General features: G+C 41.8%; 1 protein-coding gene across 4 annotated transcripts in view; it reads right to left on the bottom strand.

The window, feature by feature from the left end:
• WWOX (WW domain containing oxidoreductase) overlaps positions 1–20967 on the bottom strand; it is a 1113014-nt gene that overhangs the window by 925741 nt on the left and 166306 nt on the right. For 2 of the 4 annotated variants that reach the window (NR_120436.3, NM_130791.5), the window contains exon 6: positions 8229–8324. The exons of the other annotated variants lie outside the window; for them this stretch is intronic. Coding sequence is in view for 1 of the 2 variants with exons in the window: in NM_130791.5 (NP_570607.1) it covers positions 8271–8324 (54 nt within the window). In the remaining variant the exon portion in view is untranslated. Of the gene's footprint in view, positions 1–8228; positions 8325–20967 lie in introns of those variants that run through there. 4 annotated transcript variants of the gene reach the window in all.

Raw genomic sequence — 20967 nt, 5'->3', positions numbered from 1 at the left:
TAAAATTGATTTTAAAATCTGCAGGACATTTTTTTAAAATAAAGGATAAATTAACTATGAATATATTGAGTGGTTATGAAACTAATATATCTTAGCATAACAGAGTAGAGACAGCTTTAACTTTTCTATGATACTCATATAGTTATATTTTATGATGCTCTAATAGGTATAGGGTACATAATGAAGAAGAAGCTGTTTGTGGATTCATTGTATTTTATTTTATTTTATTTTTTACTGCTTTGAGTATGAAGAGTCTGCCCAAATATACTACTTATAAATCATACCAAAAGTGCATCAGTGAAAACCACAGTTCCATTTCTTAGGGGAAAAAAAAAATCAAGAATCAAGTTTTAGAATCCAACGATCACATTTTCCTTAATTACAAACGAAGACATCATGTATTATTTTTCTGTATCCACAAGAGATGAGAGAAATGTAATTTTTATCGCATGTTAAGTTTTCACTGAATCACAGTATTATTAAGCTTTAAATCAGAGGATTGTTTCCTTCAGCTAAGTCTAACAATACTAGAAAGTAAAAGGGGGGGACAACCCCCACCTCATCTGGGGCTGCAATATTTGCTGAAAAAAATCTACTTCAAAACATTAATCAAATTTTTCGCCCACTGGGCAACCATATGGTACAGCAGCATGTGAATCTCACAAACTTGCTGATCTCCTGTAACTGGGTGCAATTAATTACGCTGGCTGCATCCATCTCTTGGATTTTCGCCTTGTGAAAAAAGTATTTATTGCAACAGCTTTTACAAAACAAGGGAATGAAAATCACAATTGATTAATGAGCTGAATGGAAATATTTCCGTTAGCAGATTTTTTTAAATGAATAAGGATTAATACCATGGATGGGAATGAACACACGTCGATCTCGCCTTGTACTTTTTGGACCCCCAAAAAGGTGGCAAAAGAGTGGGCAGAGACGGTGCTGTGAGTTCTAACATGCATAATTCACTAGCAGGCTTTAGGTCGCAAGTAATAAAGCCTTAAAACTGGTGAAGTAATAAAGAGGCTGGCTTTACAAGATACTATCCTGGGAGACAGAAAGCTTGTTCTTTGATGTGAAAACACAGATATTAAATACTCAGTGGGTGAGGAACATTACAGGCCTGACAAAGAAGAGAAAGGGAAGGGCTCTTGAAGTAAGCAACCTACTTTGTCCTCAGCTATTTAGGCGCAAAGGTTGCTGCACATATGGGCCGATTACTGTTTTAAGATCCCTCCATAAAACCAAGCATCCGAGAGTCCGTCAGAATGGTACCACTGTCCTTACCTACTGGCTAAAGGCACAAACAATGCATAATTGCAAAATCTTCCCCCAGCAATGTTCAGCCATCATGCACTTGACTTTGCTTAACAGTCAGACCTCGTTCTGGTGCTGAGCCATCCTATGGGGCTTCATGGAGCTTGTTTCTTGATACACATGAGGGTCGTAATCCCTCCCTTCTAACTTAATTTTTTTTTTAGTTTTTATTTTTCAGAGACAGGGTCTCACTCTGTTACCCAGCTGGAGTACAGTGGCTCACTATAATGTTGAACTTCTGGGCTCAAGTGATCCTCCTGCCTCAGCCTCCCAAGTAGTCCTCCAAAGGACTACAGGTGGGTGCCACCCAGCCCGGTTAATTTTGTTTTCTCTTTTTTTAGTAGAGACAGGGTCTCACTGTGTTGCCCAGGGTAGTCTCGAACTCCTGGCCTCAAGTGATCCTCCCACCTCGCCTCCCAAAGTTCTGGGATTATAGATGTGAGCCACCTTGCCTGGCCTCAATCCTTCCCTTCTGAGGGAGTGACAGATCCAAGGCTGACAGTCTATAAACAAAGCAGAAGCAGATGCACTTTGCCCCTTTTCAGAAGTGCCCTCTGGGTTTAAGTCCACCAGCTAGCCAAGCATTAATGACATCATCATTACATGCATGCCTATTTCAGAAAGATCAGTTCCATTTTCCCTAAATAGACAGCAGAGGAGACCGCTTCCAACATTTTGCTAGTTGTTAAATATGTATCTTGAGAAAACGAAACTAATACTAAACATAATGGAAGAAATACGTAAGTTTGAAAGATCAAATATCGTATGACTCTTGAAACAGATAAAGGAAAAAGCTGTTAGGACCAAGCTTTGTAAGTCAACTCTTAAGCCAACCCTTTTCTTTACTGCATCTATTGCATTTAAACTTCTACCAGGAAATTCTGCAAAGGACTTGGTTAAAGAGAATTTACTATTATTTTATTAATGCCTGCAGAGTGTGTGTGGCTAGTATGATGATTTCTCTGCTCAAGTTTGTTGATTGATTTTGTAGAAATGTCCACAGGAGATAAAATCTGCAAACACCTCAAAGATGAGACTGTGTCCAAGAAAAGAGTAATGATACTTTATAAAACAAGAAGTAAGTGACATTTGAAACGATGGTTCATCTCAAACAACACATTTCCTCTGAGCTCCATGTTTATGTTAACATGTAAGTTTAGGAATGCTGATGTAATAGACAAAGATAACTCTTGCCACTTCAAAGTAGCAGGCATGCCTAGGTGGGCAAGAGGTTCAGAAAGCCAGCACTTAAGGTGTTGAAGGGGTAATTTTTAAAAATCTTAAGAAAATCATTCCATTTGAGAATCGGAGCCACCTTACAATCAAAGAAGCCACTGTTTTGAAGAAACCACTATCCTGCAAAAAGTAGACGGAAGTTACCAACAAAAAGTACTTGGCTCCCGAAGAAGAGGAAAATCAGATGGGAACGGGTTGTCCAACCCCTTAAACCAGTGACCCTACAAAGTACACCACCACCCACCACCACCTCTCAGATGATCTCTAAACCCCTCCTACACGCAATGGTTGTTGGCTTAAAAGTTTAAAGAGCTAACAAAATGTTTTAACGAGATACAAATCTCAGAGATCATTAATCAATATGTTCAATGTTATTTGTGATAATTCATCATGACGTGATATTAATGGGTTACTGTACCCTTCAGAGGTGAGATTAATGCAAATGAGCTGCCACAATTAACTTTACTGCTCCCACCTCACAGGAATGGACAGATGATTATAAATGACAACTATATGTCAATTACAATATCCAATAAAGTGAAGCTTAGAGAACAATCCATCTCCTTTTATTGCTCTTCCTTGACGTAGCTGAATTTAGCTCAACCCACTGTTGTCACTATGTAACCATTGTTTGGGGGAGGGAAAAGAGATTTTTCTTCTTTTTTTTTTTCTTTTTTAATTTTTCGATGTCTTAAGAAGTGCTTCAAAAACGTCCATGTAAATACGTTTTCTAAAGGAGGAGAGCCACAGGAAACCAGGAATAAATGCCACATTCATCCTATGTGAGTTAAAGAAAACTGTATCCGTTTTCAAATTGTAGCAGTAAGGCCAGCAAGGAAACAACCTACCCAGCTGTGTATAATATATTTACTCAATTAAAAAAGGAAGACATTAGCACAGCATCCTGAAAAGCCTTGAGTTTCACTAAACAAAAGTTATTTGAAAATGACTCCATCGAAGTAAATAGGTCACAGAGTGGAAAGCAGGTATGAGGCCGAGGGCGGGATGAAAGGTTTGATGTCAGTCTGTACACCTGCACTTGGAGGTGTGGAGTGGGGAGCAGGTCAGTAAATACTACAGTGCTGGCCCTCACAGCAGAGAATTTCTGTGTCTGCATCGTTCCTCCTTGCATGGATGGAGTGATTTTTGACAGCAGTCTCTCTGGTGAAGGTAGGCACGTTGTCATGTTGCCTCCTCAACCCAGATTCTCCTGCCGGGCTGGTGAACCCAGAAGCTGTAAGAATTAGCTAGTATCTCACAGCTACCCCTTCCTGCCCCACTTGAGAGGCTATGTCCACGCCGCCCTCTTCCCCAGCAGACACTGGCTCATCGCTGACTGCCATAGGTCAGCCAGGCCCTGGTCTCAGTCAGGACCAACTCTGCTGTACAATTCACCCTCCAGAGCTTCCCGTGGGATCAAGCTGAAGCTGATCTTCAGCTAAGCCACATCCTTCCTGGACATTTTCCCTGTCCTTTTTTTTTTTTTTTTTTTTTTGAGATGGAGTGTTGCTCTTGTCACTCAGGCTGGAGTGCAACGGCACGATCTCGGCTCACTGCAACCTCCACCTCCGAGGTTCAAGCGATTCTCCTGGCTCAGCCTCCTGAGTAACTGGGACTACAGGCGAACACCACCACTCCCGGCTAATTTTTTGTATTTTTAGTAGACATGGGGTCTCACATCACATTGGCCAGCCTGGCCTCAATCTCCTGACCTTGTAATCTGCGCACCTAGGCCTCCCAAAGTGCTGAGATTACAGGCGTGAGCCACTGCGCCCGGCCACATTTTCCCTGTTCTAAGCCACTCTTCTCACTTCCTTTCTGAAAGCATCCTGACCCCCATCAAATCAGTGGAACAAGAAGACTACCTTGACCTGTGCTTCCAGGTAACAGAACGCAAGGCAGGTATCAATGAGATGGAAACAGGAATGCTCTTAATGCAGTGCAATTTACAAAAGAACTGTTCTTTGCTGACCACTAGTAAGAGACCATCCAACAGGCTCCTTTTTGAAGCCACATCCCGAAAAGATCCCCTCCTGATGTCTCTAGAAACATGCAAAAATAAAATTGCAACGTCAGAACCATAAAAGGATCATAGCAGATTGACGGTAGAAGCTATAGATTTGTGTGTCCAGAATGTTTCCCCAGGTGCCTCCTTTTGCAAAATTGGACCTCATTTTACCATTAGGGAACGGGGCCTCTCAGACTCCGTGGAGAAGCAGAGAATTATCTCCAGCCTTGACTGCCCAGGCTGCAGAGAACCGCATCATCCGGGGACATGACTGATTCAGGGATAGGTGTCTGCCTAAAACTAGGCCAATCCTGGTTCTCCCTGTGGCTTTTGGGCCAAGGGTAGTGGGGAAAACAGCTTCTTGTCACTGGGGGAACAAGCCAAGATGGGACAGTGCTCGTCTGCCAGTGGCAGCCCCATTTGGAGAGAATTTTCCCTTTGAAGAATATAACCCATAAAAGATCATCAAAACTAAGGGATTAAATAAAGAGGGGACCTCGATGACATATTTAAGCTCTGAATAAAGCTAGACTCTAAGCAGGGGTTGGCAAACTATAACCGCTGGGCCAAACACGGCTGTGTTCTTATACAGCACACAGGCTAAAAATGCTTCACATTTTTAAATGGTTGGGGGCGGGGGGGAAAGAATAATATTTTGTGACACATGAAAATGTATATGAAATTCAAATTCCAGTATCCATAAATAAAGTTTCTCGCAGCCATGCCTGCTCCTTTACATGTCGTTTATGCCTGTTTTCGCACTATGAGGGCAGAGTTGAGTAGTTGGCAACAAACACTACAAGGCCCCAAAATATTTATTAAATATCCCATCACAGAGAAACTTTGCTGACTCTTGCACAAAACTTCGCATTTTGTCAGCCAGTAATGACCCTTTCCTCTTAAGCTAGTTTAAATTTGGAGCTTTTTGTGTGTAAGAGGAAACTCCTGATCTACTAAAAGAAAAAGCTATTCTTAGTCCTTCCCAGATATCCCTGAACCTCCACCCACCCAGTCTGCTGGGATCCTGATATAGTTTGGATATTTGTCCCCGCCCAAATCTCATGTTGAAACATGTCCGTAATGGGAGGTATTTGAATCACTGGGGCGGAGCCCTCATGGCTTGGCGCTGTCTTCACCATAGTGAGTGAGATCTCTGGAGATCTGGTCATTTTAACCCTTTTCCCATTTGCCCCAAGAATACTTACTGGTGTGCAGTGTTTACCCTGAGATCGCTTTGCCATGAAATATCTCGCTTTTATTATTTTTTTCACATCACTCTAGCATATCGACTTTGGAAACGAAGGATATCGTTCTATTTATAGCCTTCTGTTTTTAGTAGTGGTATTTCCATTTACAAAATATAATAGTTCTCCATCACTGAAAATGTCAAATCCGAGAAAATGTAGCATTCCTGCATGTGATGTTAACATAATTCTCGAACAGTTGTTGGCTGAAGATTCATTTGATGAATCCGATTTTTCCAAAATACACAATTCTGATGATTCAGATGATTCTGATGTTAGTTCTGTTCAGAAATATTTCCAAGAACTGTTTTTATATTTTATTATCACTTTGAAAATCGGTCACATTTGCTTCAGCTTCAAAGAGCATGTTTATGTAAAATTAAATGAGCGCTGGCAGTGAGCTGCGCTTTTTTTTTCCTAAACAGGAAAAGGGTTAAAAGTGGGGCACCTCCCACCCCCACCCCACGCTCTGTCACTTCCCACTGTCACCATGTCACCTGCTGCTCTCTCTTTGCCTTCTGCCATGATTGTAAGTTTCCTGAGGCCTCCCCAGAAGCAGAAGCCGCTATGCTTCCTGTACCACTTACAAAACTGTGAGCCAATTAAACCTCTTTTCTTATAAATTACCCAGTCTCAAGCATTTCTTTACAGCAGTGCAAGAACAGCCTAATACATATCCTACAGGTAACGTCTCAATATCCAGATCAAGTGACTGGTTGTTTCTCTTACCTGTTTCGCAGAAGTTATTGCATTCTTTGTTGAATATCACAAACTGTTAATATGTTAATCTTAAAACATGTGAAATATATATAATATCTATCATTACAACTACAATTCCAAATATTTATATATAACGTCAGCCATGCCAATGGACATGCAATTCTAGGCCCAGCAATGGACGATAAAGTAGGTTAAAAGTGGGGGAGAAAAACTGGTTTTAAAAAACTGTACCTGAAGAACATATTTAATTTAAAGGGAAATCCCACAACAGCTAAATTGTTCCCCCAGTTGGGTAGAGCCTGCCATGATTAGCTGTAACTGCCTGGAACACTCTAGACTCAGCTGACGAAACTCCAGTTGCCTGGTGAGAACAGAGTGATTTTGATGACTTTTGCAGAGGATCAGAAAGAGGGGAAACGGATTCATTTGATTCATCTGTGGTTTCCTGTTTTCCATAAGGAGATAGTTACAGGATTAAATTTCTCCTCCCTTTTCCCTATGCACTCACACCTGGGTCCCAGGACAGAAGGACCAATCGTCAGGAAAATACATCCATACTGCATCCCCTGATACTTCATCTCAGGTTGGGCAGGAGGGTTAGCAGAAGAGTTATTTCCCTTTGCGAAGATTAAAGGGTATCTCACTTTTATTTTAACAATGTGAAGACAACTGTTGTTCCTTACTATTACCAATCTACTACACTGGATTCTAATAGCTCTATTACATTTTCCATACATTCTCCTGGCATGGGGCATAAATGGGTGAGACAGCTCTGGATAAATCACTGCCAGCAGCAGAGGCATTTTCTTTAGGGAATGAAGGCTTCCATATAGCATTTAACTAACTCTCTTTTTGGAAACACCCCATCACAAATGAGTCTTTCAAACTGAAGAAATTGAAATTGATTTCTTAGGGTAATAATTAACCTCAGAAAATAATGATGAAAAGTTGCTTATTAATTATTTTTTATAATATACTTTGGGAATATTTCTTTTTTCCATGAAAGATAGAGACAAAAGTAGACACATTTTACAATCATATAAAATGTGATTAGACTCATATTTTATAGGAGAATGAAACTCATTTAATTTGCAAAATACTTAATATGAGAGGGAGGTGTCCCCCTACACACACACACTCTTTTCAAGACTCTTAAATAGCCCTTTTTAAAACAACACAATCTCTCTGTTCTGTTCTTTATTTCTTCACACATAACTGCCTTGGAGCTTTTAATATATTATTGCTATTTCAATCCCCCATGGTTTTTCTACTTATTCAAAAAGAAGGTATTTTTCATCTGAATAGCCATTGACAGCGAACTCTGGTGACATCCTCAGTCTTCCTTGACAATGGGAGGAGGAGTTGTCACCAAGAAACTTGTTACTATCCCAAGTAACGAGCTAGCATCCCTCAGATAATACAATAGAGATGGACTAGTGTTTTTCAAACAATTTAAAACACACACACTTATGTACACAGAAAAACACATGTATACACGTACACGCACACACAAACACACACACTTTAAAACACCCTCTTTTTCTTTAGTCACCTGAAGAGTCGTAAAGCATAACTGCAAACTGATAAAGGTATAAATTAAATCATATAATAGATGTTGTTGCAAATCGTACATGTCTGTCAGATCACCGAGATAGAAGTCAAAACATGAAAAGACCAGGAAATACCCACAAAAGAAGATGTAATTGATGAGACTATTCAAGATCTTTTATTTTTTCCTTCTTTTGCTAGTGGAAAATTTTTATTCTGCACTTTTCTGGCGGAGGGTGGTATTTTGTTTTCTGTAAGATACAAACAAAAGACAGTTGTGTAAAATTAAGTTATGAGAACAACATAGAACTGTTTCTTGAAGCATTCCAAAGATAAGTTTTTGCTAATTAATTAACAAATTCAAGCTGGTTAAATAAAACCTTCTTCCAACACCTCCTATTTAATTGCAGTTTGGCACCAACAAATATATATCAAAATTATAGTATTTCCCCTGACAGGAAGCTCCTTCCTTCCACACACTATTATGGCTCTCTGCAGAGTAAGCCAGAATTGCTGACAACCTTGAACACTGCTACAACAATATTACTATACTTGGCAGAGAAGTACCCTTGCGGCAAGAGAAAAGCTGTAATTTTGACTGTCACTTCACATTACACTAGATATTATTTCACTGTATACACATACACACACTCACAAACTCTTAATAGACTACAGTTTTCGCACTGCCTGCCTTTCCAATATAAATGGCAATATAATACCAGCAAACCGCCAATGAGATCCTGGAGAGAAACAAATGTTTGGCATTATGGAAACATCATCAGAGGATGCATTTTAAGGGATATTTCATTGCTTTGTCCCCCACTCACACCGTTCACACCCCATCATCAACTTCATAAGATCATCACCTTGGTTATCAAAAAGAAATTCACTTTTTTTAACCCCATGGTGGGCCAAGTCAGCATTAACAAATTCCATGTTCAAAAATTTCCACGGTGTTAGCAAAGGTTGTGCTATGATTCGTAATATTTTGGACATTCTTCAAATCTGATGCCTGTTATGTAAAATTTCCAGATTTCAAAATGTATCCTTTTTCCTGCATTTATCTCGCTTTCCTTCACACCCGGGGGGAATCTGTTAAACTGCAGTGACCACTGGCCGAGTCCCAAGCCAAGCCAAACCGTGCAAACATGAAACGGCCCCACAAATCATGCAAACCCTACACGCTGTCCCTGCCAGAGAGCAGCGCCTGTCTTTGCAGAGAACTAAATGCAACATATGCTTCCTTCTTACCAAGCTCACACTGAAGCAGATTGGGCCAGGTTCCCCACTGTGCCCTCCCCCACCCCCTGCCCAGCTTTGATTTACAAGATGCTATGTTAATATTCCCTCTATTTGTCCCAGGCAAGGAATTCTGTGATGTCGGTATGAGCTCCAAATTGAGAACTCCCTGGAATCCGGAGCACAGGTCAGAAGGATGAATACACAGAGGGAGAAAACTGCAACTTCCCTCAAGGAGAGAATGCTAGAAATGGCAATGGGCAGGAAAGAAAGGATCCTGACATCATTTTATAGAGAGTCGTTCATCCCTTACACAAACCTGGCCAAAAATCTACAGAATGCTGAGGAAACACGGCTATTCAACAAGAAAATCGGAGCTTCTCTCTCTACTTAATCTCTGCCATCCCCCTTTTTTTCCTCCCCTTTCAAATTGCTACTTCAAACGATTTAAATAAGATTTAAACTTGTTTTACTGAATCAAGGAAAAGCAACAGCAAACTCTTTGCCCTCTGTTAAGAGAATGTATCCAAAACTTCACCGGGTCTGCTGACCACACCGAATTTAACAAGGTTCGCAAATGAACTAGAGTAAGTTTCCCACAGTGACACATTAATAATAAGTTCCTTATCCCATCCATCCCAAGCCATGAATATGTAATGTTATAAAATGAGTCCTTTTCACACAACGGAATCTCAGACGTGAATAAATAAAAACTATCCATCACAAGCCTGTGAAAAATTAATGAGAGTTCGGAGATGCAAAGAAAAATGGGGACAAGGAGAGATGGCCCAGTTCATAAAAGCCTCCCTAAAACTTTCAGACAGTAAATATCCTAGCCCCCGTCCCTCACCAAATTGCCAGGTGTGGGTGGAAAGCAACAGATTTTATTTTTAATGGGCTAAAATTTTACAATCTTAAAGCACAATTCATGCAAGCAACTGAGAGATCACAGCTACAAACACTGGACTTTCTATTTTCTCCATGCGATCCCAATTTCAGCTGCAGAGCCAGAGTTTATTTCTTTAATTATTCATAATTCATAACCAACCTACTTCCAGAAGGATTTGAGGTTGCTCACAGCAGTTATGAGAAAAGGGAGAAGAGTGGGGCTCGCGCAGGGCTCAAACATCAGGAGACTGGAAAAACTCTGCTTTGTGCATTGTTCCTTGACATCGCTGTGGACACACAGTGCCTGATTAAATTGTATGTGTCGCTTGGGTTATAATTATTATCATTGTCAAAACCACTTGCTGGATGCTCACTCTCTGCCCAGCATTACACTAGTGCTATGCCCTGCATAAACTCTGATTCTCACCCTCTATGACCCCATTTGACAAACAGGGAAACTGAGGCTGGGAGGAGCTAACTAACCTACCCCAAGTCTAAGAGCTGGTGAGAGTAAGAGCCAAAGGAAGGAGGTTAGCCAGCTCCAAATCACCTGTGCTTCCCACCTGGGGCCACTCACTACCACTCATGAGTTAAGGTGTATGAAAACGGCTTTGGTAACCTCCTTCTTGCCATCATGAAACTGCAGCACGCTAATACTGTCAGTCTGTCTCAGAAACCCCTGCCAGCCAGAAGGCTTAACTTTGAGATGAATGCAAAGCAGAATGAAGCCCAGGAAGTTTGGGGGTCTGGGCTAAGGCTGATGCTGGGCAGCAGATTAGAGGCAGAGCAGAGCCCAGAAGTCCAGCCTCCCCTCCCAGTGCACTCCTCGACAAGAGGCTGCACTTCCTCGTCGGAAGGACTCCAGGTCCCACTTTGGGACCAGACATGCTGCAAAAACAAAGAAATTCACCCAAACTGGTTTGCCCTTTACTGGATTTTTTCTGAGACTGAAAGTGTTGCCTTAAGGGACAAATACCAAAAGGAAGATTTAAAAATGGACCAATGGGGACAATCTGCTTAATCTGGCCCAACCTCCTCCCTCCTCCCTTCTCCACCATCCATTCCATGTGGGCAGAACACGTGACTCATGGGATTACTGGGAGCCTGCCATGCTGTTCTGTTTTCAACTCACTACTTTTGTCTGTGCTATTCTTTCATTCAGGATACCGCCCCAACCTCTCCACCTGGCTAAATCACTCATCCTTTGAGATGCAGAAGCCAAAGAGATCCTCAGCACATACCTCCAGAAAGCCAGTTACTGCAGGGGATGCGTACGGACCAGCCAGGTAATGTCAATTTGGAAAGCGGGCCAGGTATAAATTAATAGGGGCTGGTTGGTGTGAGCTGACCCGGTGGGCACAAGCCCCATCATCCAACTGGGGCGGCCACCGTACAGGGTGAGTCAAGGGCTGCGCCCGGGAAATGTGGGAGCAAAGGTGCCAGACCTTCCAGTTTTTTAAGAGAAACCAAGAATCCAGGTTTTTATGCGAACTTTAAAAAAAGAGGATGTGGGGGTGGGGGCAGCAAACACATGCCTGCAGGCTGAATTCACCACCCCCCTCCACGTTTTAGATCTTATAATTACATCTTCTCTTTAGGATCCTTAAAGCATAAAGGCAAGAGCCAAGTCTCAGTAAACTCTGCATGGGCCACAGCTCGGAAAAGAAAAAAACCTGTTATATCATGGGAGCTCAGTGCTTGCTGAACTGAACTGATTCACATCATGACTTGGGATTCATGAACCAGAAGCACAGGAAATTAATAAAAACTGAAAACGAGCCAAAGAGAAGGGAAAGGCTCTCTTACCACTGTTGAGAATGTTATGTTTAATCCCTGCAAGCAGTAGAGACTCAGTGTACTTCCATGAAGTGCTGCTTGGGCATTCATGAGGCATTAAGGGAGAAAGAATTTTTAAAATCTTTGTCTTCTCAAAAGGGAATACCACGATGGGGCCATGTCTAGAGCAAGGTGTCTAAGGTGATTCTAGGGCCCTCGCCCAAGAAACGAAAGCAGCATTGAACATGTCCAGGAAGGATGTGAAGCCTGAAGCCAATGCAGAAGACAAAGCTAGATAACCCCTGTCTCTAAGACATAGGGACTTAGAACTCTTACCCTGATGAGCAACATTGAACATTGGATGTGTTCACCAGAATGGAAGGAGACACACTCCTGCCGAAATCATGAAGGGCAAACTGACCCAGAAAAGGGACAGGTCAAGGAAGGTATTACCTCTGCATAGTTCTAGGTGTCCTGCTTAACTCATTCAGGAATTTCGGGCCAGAGGGATATCCAACAGGAATTCTAACCTGAAGAGTTTAGAAACCAGTAGGAGAATCAGGATGAATTCAGAAATTACTATAATATGCATTTTCAAGTGATAAATCCCATCAAAAACAGAAAAAGTGCTTGAAGAACTGGAAGGAACAGTGATCATTCTTGTCAGATGGAATCTTAAAATCCAGTGGGTTTCAAAGGATGAGCAGGAGCTGGACATGAAGGGATTGGAGGATGGGGACTGGAAATGGGGAGTTCATTGCAATCAGAAGGAAGAGCAAGAAAGGAACAAAAAGCAAGCAGTGTTTGGGGAGACCAGGATGTGATTCCAGTTTGGCCAAAATATAGGGTATACTGGGAGAATCTATTGAGGTTTTGGGAGTGTATTTGTTTGTAGTTTGAAAACACCTAAGCAATTTTGAAGAGAAGCAGACTCTTTAAGTCAGATGCTGGGTTCTCCAGTCCAAATATGCCAATATAATTGTGTCTGGTCAATGTCTATCCTGTCCATCCCTCCTGAGTGCCAGATCTAAATCCAGGTGCCAATGGATGACTTCCACTTGGGTGCCCCACAGGCGTCATGAATTCAGTATGACTGAAAAGGACTCCTCCTATCTTCAGCGATGGTTCCACTACACAATACACTGTCCAAGCCAGAAGTCCCAAACTAGCCTTCTGTCCTTCCTTCTCCATTCACCACGCCTGTCATCCCCTTCAGAGCTGTTGGCCAAATCTTGTTGATTTTACCAAGTATCTATCAAAATGTTTCCTCTTCCTCCCTGTACTCACTGCAATCACTTTTGCTCAAGGGCTCATCATTTCGTGCCTGGGTGACTAGAGTTGTTTCCCAGCAGGTCTCCCCACCCTCCTTTCTCACATGGCTGCCAGAACGGTCTTCTGAAAGGCAAATCTGACCATTCGACAACTCTGCTCTAAATTCCTCCTATGGATCCCCATGGCTTGGATTTAATAAATGTTTATTGAGTGAATGAGTTCTCTGCATACATGTTGTTCTCTGCCTGGTACCGTGGAGGTCAGGCTCGCACAGAAGCATACTTATGGTCAGAGTTAGTCAATAAAAAAAGTGATCTATTCTGAGTTCCATACCACCCCAAAACACTGATCAGCTTGGGGAAACTTAGAAAGTTCAACCACCTGGGGATAAAGTTTGGACAACTAGGCTAGGGCCAATTCAGGGTACAGGTGGAGGCTAGGAAGTTTGGCATAGGATATCATTAAAGGTCTTCTAAGGATGAAGGCAATTGGAGCTACACTATAGGAAGGCACAGCAGGCGGAGAACAGACTTGAGAAGGATTTGGGAGGTGAAGAAACAGCTAAAAGACTCTATCTCTGACAAAGATATAATGCCCAGAATTAGAAGAGTGGAAATGAAGGAATGATGAATGAAAGAGATTATCAAGAAGAAACAAACAAACAAATAAACAAACAAAAATCCCTGTAATCAGTAACCATCTATTATTATGTCCCAGATTTTGGAAATGAGACCCTAATGACAAGCACTCCTAAACCTTCAACATAGCTGCTGTTAAGGATGTTGTCTTGTGGGGGTGAAAGGCAGACCAAAATGATACTACCACCCTACTCCTTACCGATGAGTCCTTTCTGATTTTAAGCAAATGGCATACAGTGTGGTGAATTAAAAACAGCATTATCCTGATTTTATTACTAGTATCATTACTATTAGCATTATTGCTACTGCTGTTATAGGTAAAAATGGGAACGTTGTGAACATTTCCCATTGCCTATCCAAGGTGCTTGGTACTTTACATGATATCTCACTTAATCATCAGAAAGTTTGGAGTTATTCTATAGGTAATGAGGGAGATGCTATTATTACCTGCTGTGGTGGAATAAAGATGGCTGCAAATTCTTTGTCACTTCTACCAGAAGAAAGTGAGGTGTATGTCTGCTCCCCTTGAATCTGAGTGGGTTTTGTAACTGCTTAGTCCACAGCAGTCATGCTGTGCCAACCCCTAAGCCAGGCCATAAGAAACTGGCAGCTTCCTGTTACTTTCTTTTGGAATCCTCTGGGAGCCCTGAGCCACCATGTAAGAAATCTGATGGCCCTATATCTGCCATGCAGGAAAGGCCATGTGTAGGGCTCTGGGTAAGAGTCCCTCAGCTGAGCCAAGCATCCCAGTCATCCTCGTGAAAGTGCCAGACCCATGGGTGACCATCCTGGACCAGCTGAAGTGCCAGTCCAATTCATCCTCCAGCATAGCACCACTGACTGACCCCAGTCAACACCACAAGGGGCAGAAGAGTCACTCCACTGAGCCCCAACTTACAGAAATCACAAGATAAAACAAAATGGTTGTTGTTTTAAGCCTCTAAGTTTTGGGGTAATGTATTATGCGGCTATACATAAATTGGAACATCCACGTTTTACAGATGAGCTACTTGTTACTCCAAAAGTTTGGCTGACTTATCTGTAGTCTCCTGGCTGATGAGGTGTGCAGCCTGGATTAGAACCTCCATCTGCCTGACCTGGCTGCACACAATGCTTGTTAAGTTATCCCGGAAAACGTAAGGCCATACAGGTGTGGCAGACTAATTAAATTCACCATGCTCTTTGGGCTGTGTGACTGCTACCAAAATGTCCTACCCTACCTCACATATTCCCTTGTTAGGTAGAGAAGGCTGGACGATGCTACAACTGCTTCTCCGCCAGGCCTCCCAACGCCCTCGCTGGGCAGAGTCCCATGTGACTGTTTTCACTGCTAGAAAAATTAACTTGCATAATGACCAGGAAGTAAAGATAAACTCAAGGATGAGAGAAAACCTCCCACCTCAGAGGCTCCACCTCACTGGGGTGAACAAGCACTGACCTTCTATCATCCTATAAGGAAAACAAGAAGAAGAGATGCTTACTTGAATTACTACATAGGCTCCCTGCCTACATCCACATCTTGAAAATTCTGAGCTGTGAAGCTCTCGTGGTTGGCTCCTGGGAACTTGAGATTCCCAGTGATATTCCAATGCTGAAACAGCCCAGCAAGGTGATGCAGGTAAGCACGCTTGTAGGATGTAACAATGTGAAACCTCAGCACACTGTGGTTATGTTTCAAAGCACGAGGTGACGGAAGCAAGAGCGAGTTTACATGGGCTTGTGATTTCCTTTGACAAGATACACGCACTCATTCCTTCAACCTAAGCAAAATTTCCAGGACTACAACAGATTTGAAACTCAGGTGGACGAAAAAAACCATCTGTGAATGGGATAACATACGAAATCATCAAAGGTAATTGTTTTAAAAACGTGACTCAAGATGGCACAGAACAGCGTCCACAGATGTATTCTTGGTTACTTAAAAACACAATTTAAAGTAATTAGCTTAATGTTGATGTAATTCTAAAGATCGATAAATAAACCTAAAAATCTTAATTTGATATTGAATCGCCCCAAATTAAACAACATATTTTCAAACCACTAAATATTGATTCATTTGTAAGATGAGGCCTTTCAATGCAACTATTTGACCTGAACGCAAACAGGAAAGGGTTGACACATTTTCTCTGTGAAGGGCCAGATAGTTAAGTACCTTCATCTTCGGGCCACGTATCGTCTCTGGCACACAGCCTTCTTTGGATTTTTTGTTCATTTTTGTTTTTTTTAACGGGTCATAAATAAAAGGCTACTGGCTGGAGTTAGCCTTTGGGCCATAATTGGTTCATTCCTACCTTTTCATAATCTCAGTTATTGATCAGGTGATTTTTCAAACTGTGAAGGGTCTACACGTTCACCCTCTTCCTTGTAAGTTAATGAGTTAGCTACCAAGTTTTGAGGAAGCTAGCAGAAAACAGGAGACCCAGGATCAGATACAGAGGACTTCGTTACTCATGGCAGAGCAAACAGCATGAGCTTTATTTCTGCACTGATTCCCATTGCCCTGGCCCCTAGTCCCACAGGGAGGATGTGGAACAGCCCGGTAGATGCCGTGCTCATAGTACGTTTCAGTCATGGCTGAGGAGCCCCAAGCTTAGAAACCCCAACCTTTATCAAGCAAATCTGCCAAACCGTTGTCCTGGAAGGAGGCACTGTCTTTATTATACTGGAAAGAAAGCCATCCTGTCCTCTGCTCCTGAGGGAGACACTATCTGTACCTTGCAAGTTTCTTTGCTAGACAACGTTCCTTGGAAAGATGGCCTGAAACCAAAGCTGCCAGCACTTCTGTTCCCAAGACATGTGAAAACACAAGAGACCCGAGGATCACTGTGTCCAACCAATGACAGCTAGGAGAAAATGCAAAAACTAGCATTACCTTAATCACAGGGGTCTTTTTCTATGAACCAATCAAGCAGATTTATGTATTTTTTTCAGTGCCGTAAAAAAAATTTGATGATTTTGAGGCTTAACATCAAATACCAGTGAGATCAAAAGTTAGATATGACATCATACACATCATTTCTGCTGAAAAAGTATCTTTAGTTAAAAACAGAAACCAATTTGTAAATGTGAATTAAATGCATACTCCACAAAAAAATACCTGGTGAAAGTAAAAAAAAAAAAAAAAAACTTCCTTATGTATAGATATGTTTCCTGACAGATGTAAATGAAAACTAATACGGTGACATTTTTCAAATTAGCCACTGGAAAACTGTGTGTGTGTGTTTTCAAACAGCCTGAGCAATTTTCAGTTATGTCGGCCTCGGAAAGTATTTATGAAAAGGATAATAAATAATTAATTCTACTGGCCAGAAGCTGCAACTCCTTTCTGCTTCGACAATATACATTGAAATGCTGTTTAAATTAGAGGAGCAAATTGATTCAAAAGGCTTCCATTAGTGAGCTGGCAAACAGGTTTGAAGTTGGCTAATAAATTTTAGATAAAGATAGAGCTTTTGATGAGGATGGCAATGCCGGACTGCTGATCTCCGAGTCACCAGTTTGTTAAATCGGTGGCTGAAGTCTTGATTTCGCTCCCTGTGTCATAACTCACTGTGTTAAACAATATGTCACAGGGCAGCACGAGCACAGTCAAACCAGAATGGCTGCTGCAGGAGCCATCAGCATGACTGTGTGGCAGCTGCTCACAGAGCAGGGACTAACATGGGAACCAGACTAGCTTTTGCGTCCCTTTCTGAGTCTCCAGTCTATCCGGGTTTGCAGAACATTAATCAAGGTTAATTAGGCCCACCTGTGACATAAAAATTTCTACCTATGCTATGTCTTGCAGCATAAAGTCACGTCTGACATATCTATTAAGAAAGATTCTTAATCAAAATCAAGAAACTACGCATGAAGCTCTTAATTCCACTTGGATATACATACTTTAGCTGGCTTCAAGCTGCTCCTCTGGGTTGTGGAATATTACACAGCTCTGTAAAGGAATGATTTAAAGCTGTACATACTAGCCTGAAAGGGCACACACTGTACACTACCTGGGGATGGTGGAGTATGTGTCCACTTATTTCAGAAAATGAGAACAAAATCTTATATATGTGTACATCTATATTAACATGAAGGAGGATGTACAAGAAGTACAAAATACTAATCATGGTTGCCTCAGAGGGATAGAATTAGATGAAGGAATAGAAAGGGTTTTTTTAATGCCTCCTTTAGACAGCTCTATAATTTTAAAAAATTATTCAAATAATGTATAATAATGTTCTTTTATAATTAAAAAAATCTAAAACCAAGAAATAAACAACATGAAGGCTTATGTGACTTGCAGAAAATTATAAAATGGGGAAGTCATTTATTTGCTTAGCTTATTTCTACCTGGCCAGTTTGGGGAAGCCTGTGGAGAACTGATCAATCTGTCTTTCTGTCCATCCACTCTTCCACGTATTTAACCAAGAAACCAGACCTAGGAAATGGTGGGTGAAGAGTAAACAGCTTTAGAATCCACCAGGCCTGGAGAGAAATTCTGCCTCTACCCACTTGCAACCTATGCAGCTTTGGACCATGCTCTCGATGTCTTCCAAAAATAAAATAATTGTAAGAGCTACAGCAAATGCAGGTAGTGACTCTACAATTTCATCCACAAAGGTTAGCTCTTTTCCTGTGCACACCAGGATCTCAGTATGGCTACCCTGAGCAGAATAATCTACACTTGGCCAAGATGGCAACCCAGGATGATAAAAGCAAAACACATTGCAGAGATCTGATTATTAAGGAATTCAAATTTACACTTTCTCAAATTTGTACTACTTACCAATGGGGAAAAATAGAATGCTACTTTTTTTTTAAGGAATACTATATTTTCCCTTTTATTTGTAGCCACTTTTCAAATGGAGCCTTTGTGAAGTACTTCCAGCCTTGGTCCCACCATGGGAAAGGTGGAATTCATAGAGGAAAATCGTGGAGCAAGCCAGACACGGCGGCTCACGCCTGTAATCCTAGCACTTTGGGATGACAAGGCAGGCAGATCGCTTGAGTCAAGGGGTTCGAGATGAGCCTGGGCAACATGGCAAAACCCTGTCTCTACTAAAAGTACAAAAACTTAGCCAGGCGTGGGGGCACGCACCTATAGTCCCAGCTACTCAGGAGGCTGAGGTGGGAGGATCACTTGAGCCTGGAAAGTCAAGGCTGCAGTGACTTGAGATTGCACCATGGCACTCCTGGGAGGCTGAAGAAGGAGAATCACTTGAACCCGGCAGGCAGAGATGAGCCTGGGCAATGAGAGTGAGACCCTGCCTCACAATCAATCAATCAATCAATCAATCAATCAGGTGGAACAGATACTATCCCTCACTACAAGTGGACAAGTGGATCTGAAGCAGTGTAGGGAGCAGGATGAGGACCTCACAGGCAGGTCTCTTAAAAGACAGTGTCAGATGTCCTGCAGCTCATGTCTCAGGCTTGGTTTCCATGCCTGGATTTCGCTGCCAAGGACTGAGCCTTCCTCAGGGGCTCATTCCCCTCGAGTCCTGGGCTGACCCCAGCAAGAGGGAAGGACAGATACAATGCATTCCAATCAGATGGCCTTCCTTTAAGAACACTCATGAAAGCTACTGACACTTTACACTGACTTTCACATTTTAATAGACTACAAAATAAAATATCCAAATTGTGCAAATGCAGAAAATGAAGCGAAAAGTCAGAGTGATTCATTTTTATTTCTTAATTATAAAACAAGAAAACATGCAATTAATATCCGTGTGACCACATTAAGCACTCCACACATAAATGAAGCAGAAAGAACAACTAAAAAGTATTTCTCCCCTTTCTTAGATACAAAAATTACGTGTGTGTGGGTACATGTGTGTATGTGTCTATGTGTATTAGTTCATTTTCACACTGTTGAAAAAGACATACCCAAGACATGGAAGAAAAAGAGATTTAATTGGACTTACAGTTCCACATGGCTGAGGAGGCCTCAGAATCATGGCAGGAGGCAAAGGCACTTCTTACATGCTGGTGGCAAGAGAAAATGAGGAAGAAGCAAAAGCAAAACCCTCTGATAAACCCATCAGATCTTGTGAGACTTATTCACTATCATGAGAATAGCATGGGAAAGACTGGGGCCCATGATTCAGTTACCTCACCTTGGGTCCCTCCCACAACACATGGGAATTCTGGGAGATGCAATTCAAGTTGAGATTTGGATGGGGACACAGCCAAACCATATCACTATGAGAGAGAGGGGGAGAGAGGGAGACAGAGAGAGAGAGAGAGAGAGAGAGAGAGAGAGAGAGAATAGAAGAATAGAACTTGCATTTATCAAGCACTTATTACATAGGAGGCGATGTTGGAAGCGATGAGTTTAGCTAAGTTAACTTGGTTCATTCCATACAACCCAAGGTAGTGGATACTCATTATTTCTTCCATTTGATGAGGAATCTGAGGTTGAGAAAAATAAAAAAGCTCACCTACATCCCTACAGGTAGTCAGCACAGAGCCAAGACTAGACTCAAGCAGGCTAGTTCCAGAGAGTCTTATGGTCACCCTATGCTATCCTGCCTTCAGAGGGAAGGGACAAATAAGAAGAACAAAGGCAGACGTGGAGATGATAGTAGGGGTTGCCAAGCTTTCTGGAAAGGAGCAGAGAGTATTTTAGGCTTTATGGGCCATATAGTCTCCATCCCAACTACTCAACTTTGCTGGCATAGTGCAAAAGTAGCCACAGATAGCTTATAAATGAAGGTGTGTAGGGCTGTGTTCCAATAAAACTACTTCAGATCTCTCTGGAATTTCAATAAAAGTTTTTAAAATTTAGTTATGAACACTGAAATTTGAATTTCATACAATTTTTACATGTAATAAAACATTATTCTATTGGTTTTTTCCCCCAAACAATTACAAATGTAAAAACCATTCTTAGCTCTCGGGCTGTACAAAAACATGACAGGCCACATCTGACCTTCAAACCACAGTGTGTAGACCCTTCATATCAGAGACAGTTTGATGCAGGGGAAATTGTTTCACCTTTAGTGTGAGACAGGTCTGGTGTTCAGCCCATGCTCTGCCCCTGTGAAAGAGCTCTGCAACCCTGGGCAAGTTCTTCAACAGCTCTACACCTCAATTC

This window comes from Homo sapiens, chromosome 16, assembly GCF_000001405.40.
Source record: "Homo sapiens chromosome 16, GRCh38.p14 Primary Assembly".
Classification (NCBI taxonomy): Eukaryota; Metazoa; Chordata; class Mammalia; order Primates; family Hominidae; genus Homo; species Homo sapiens.
This window is presented reverse-complemented; position numbering and strand designations above follow the sequence as displayed.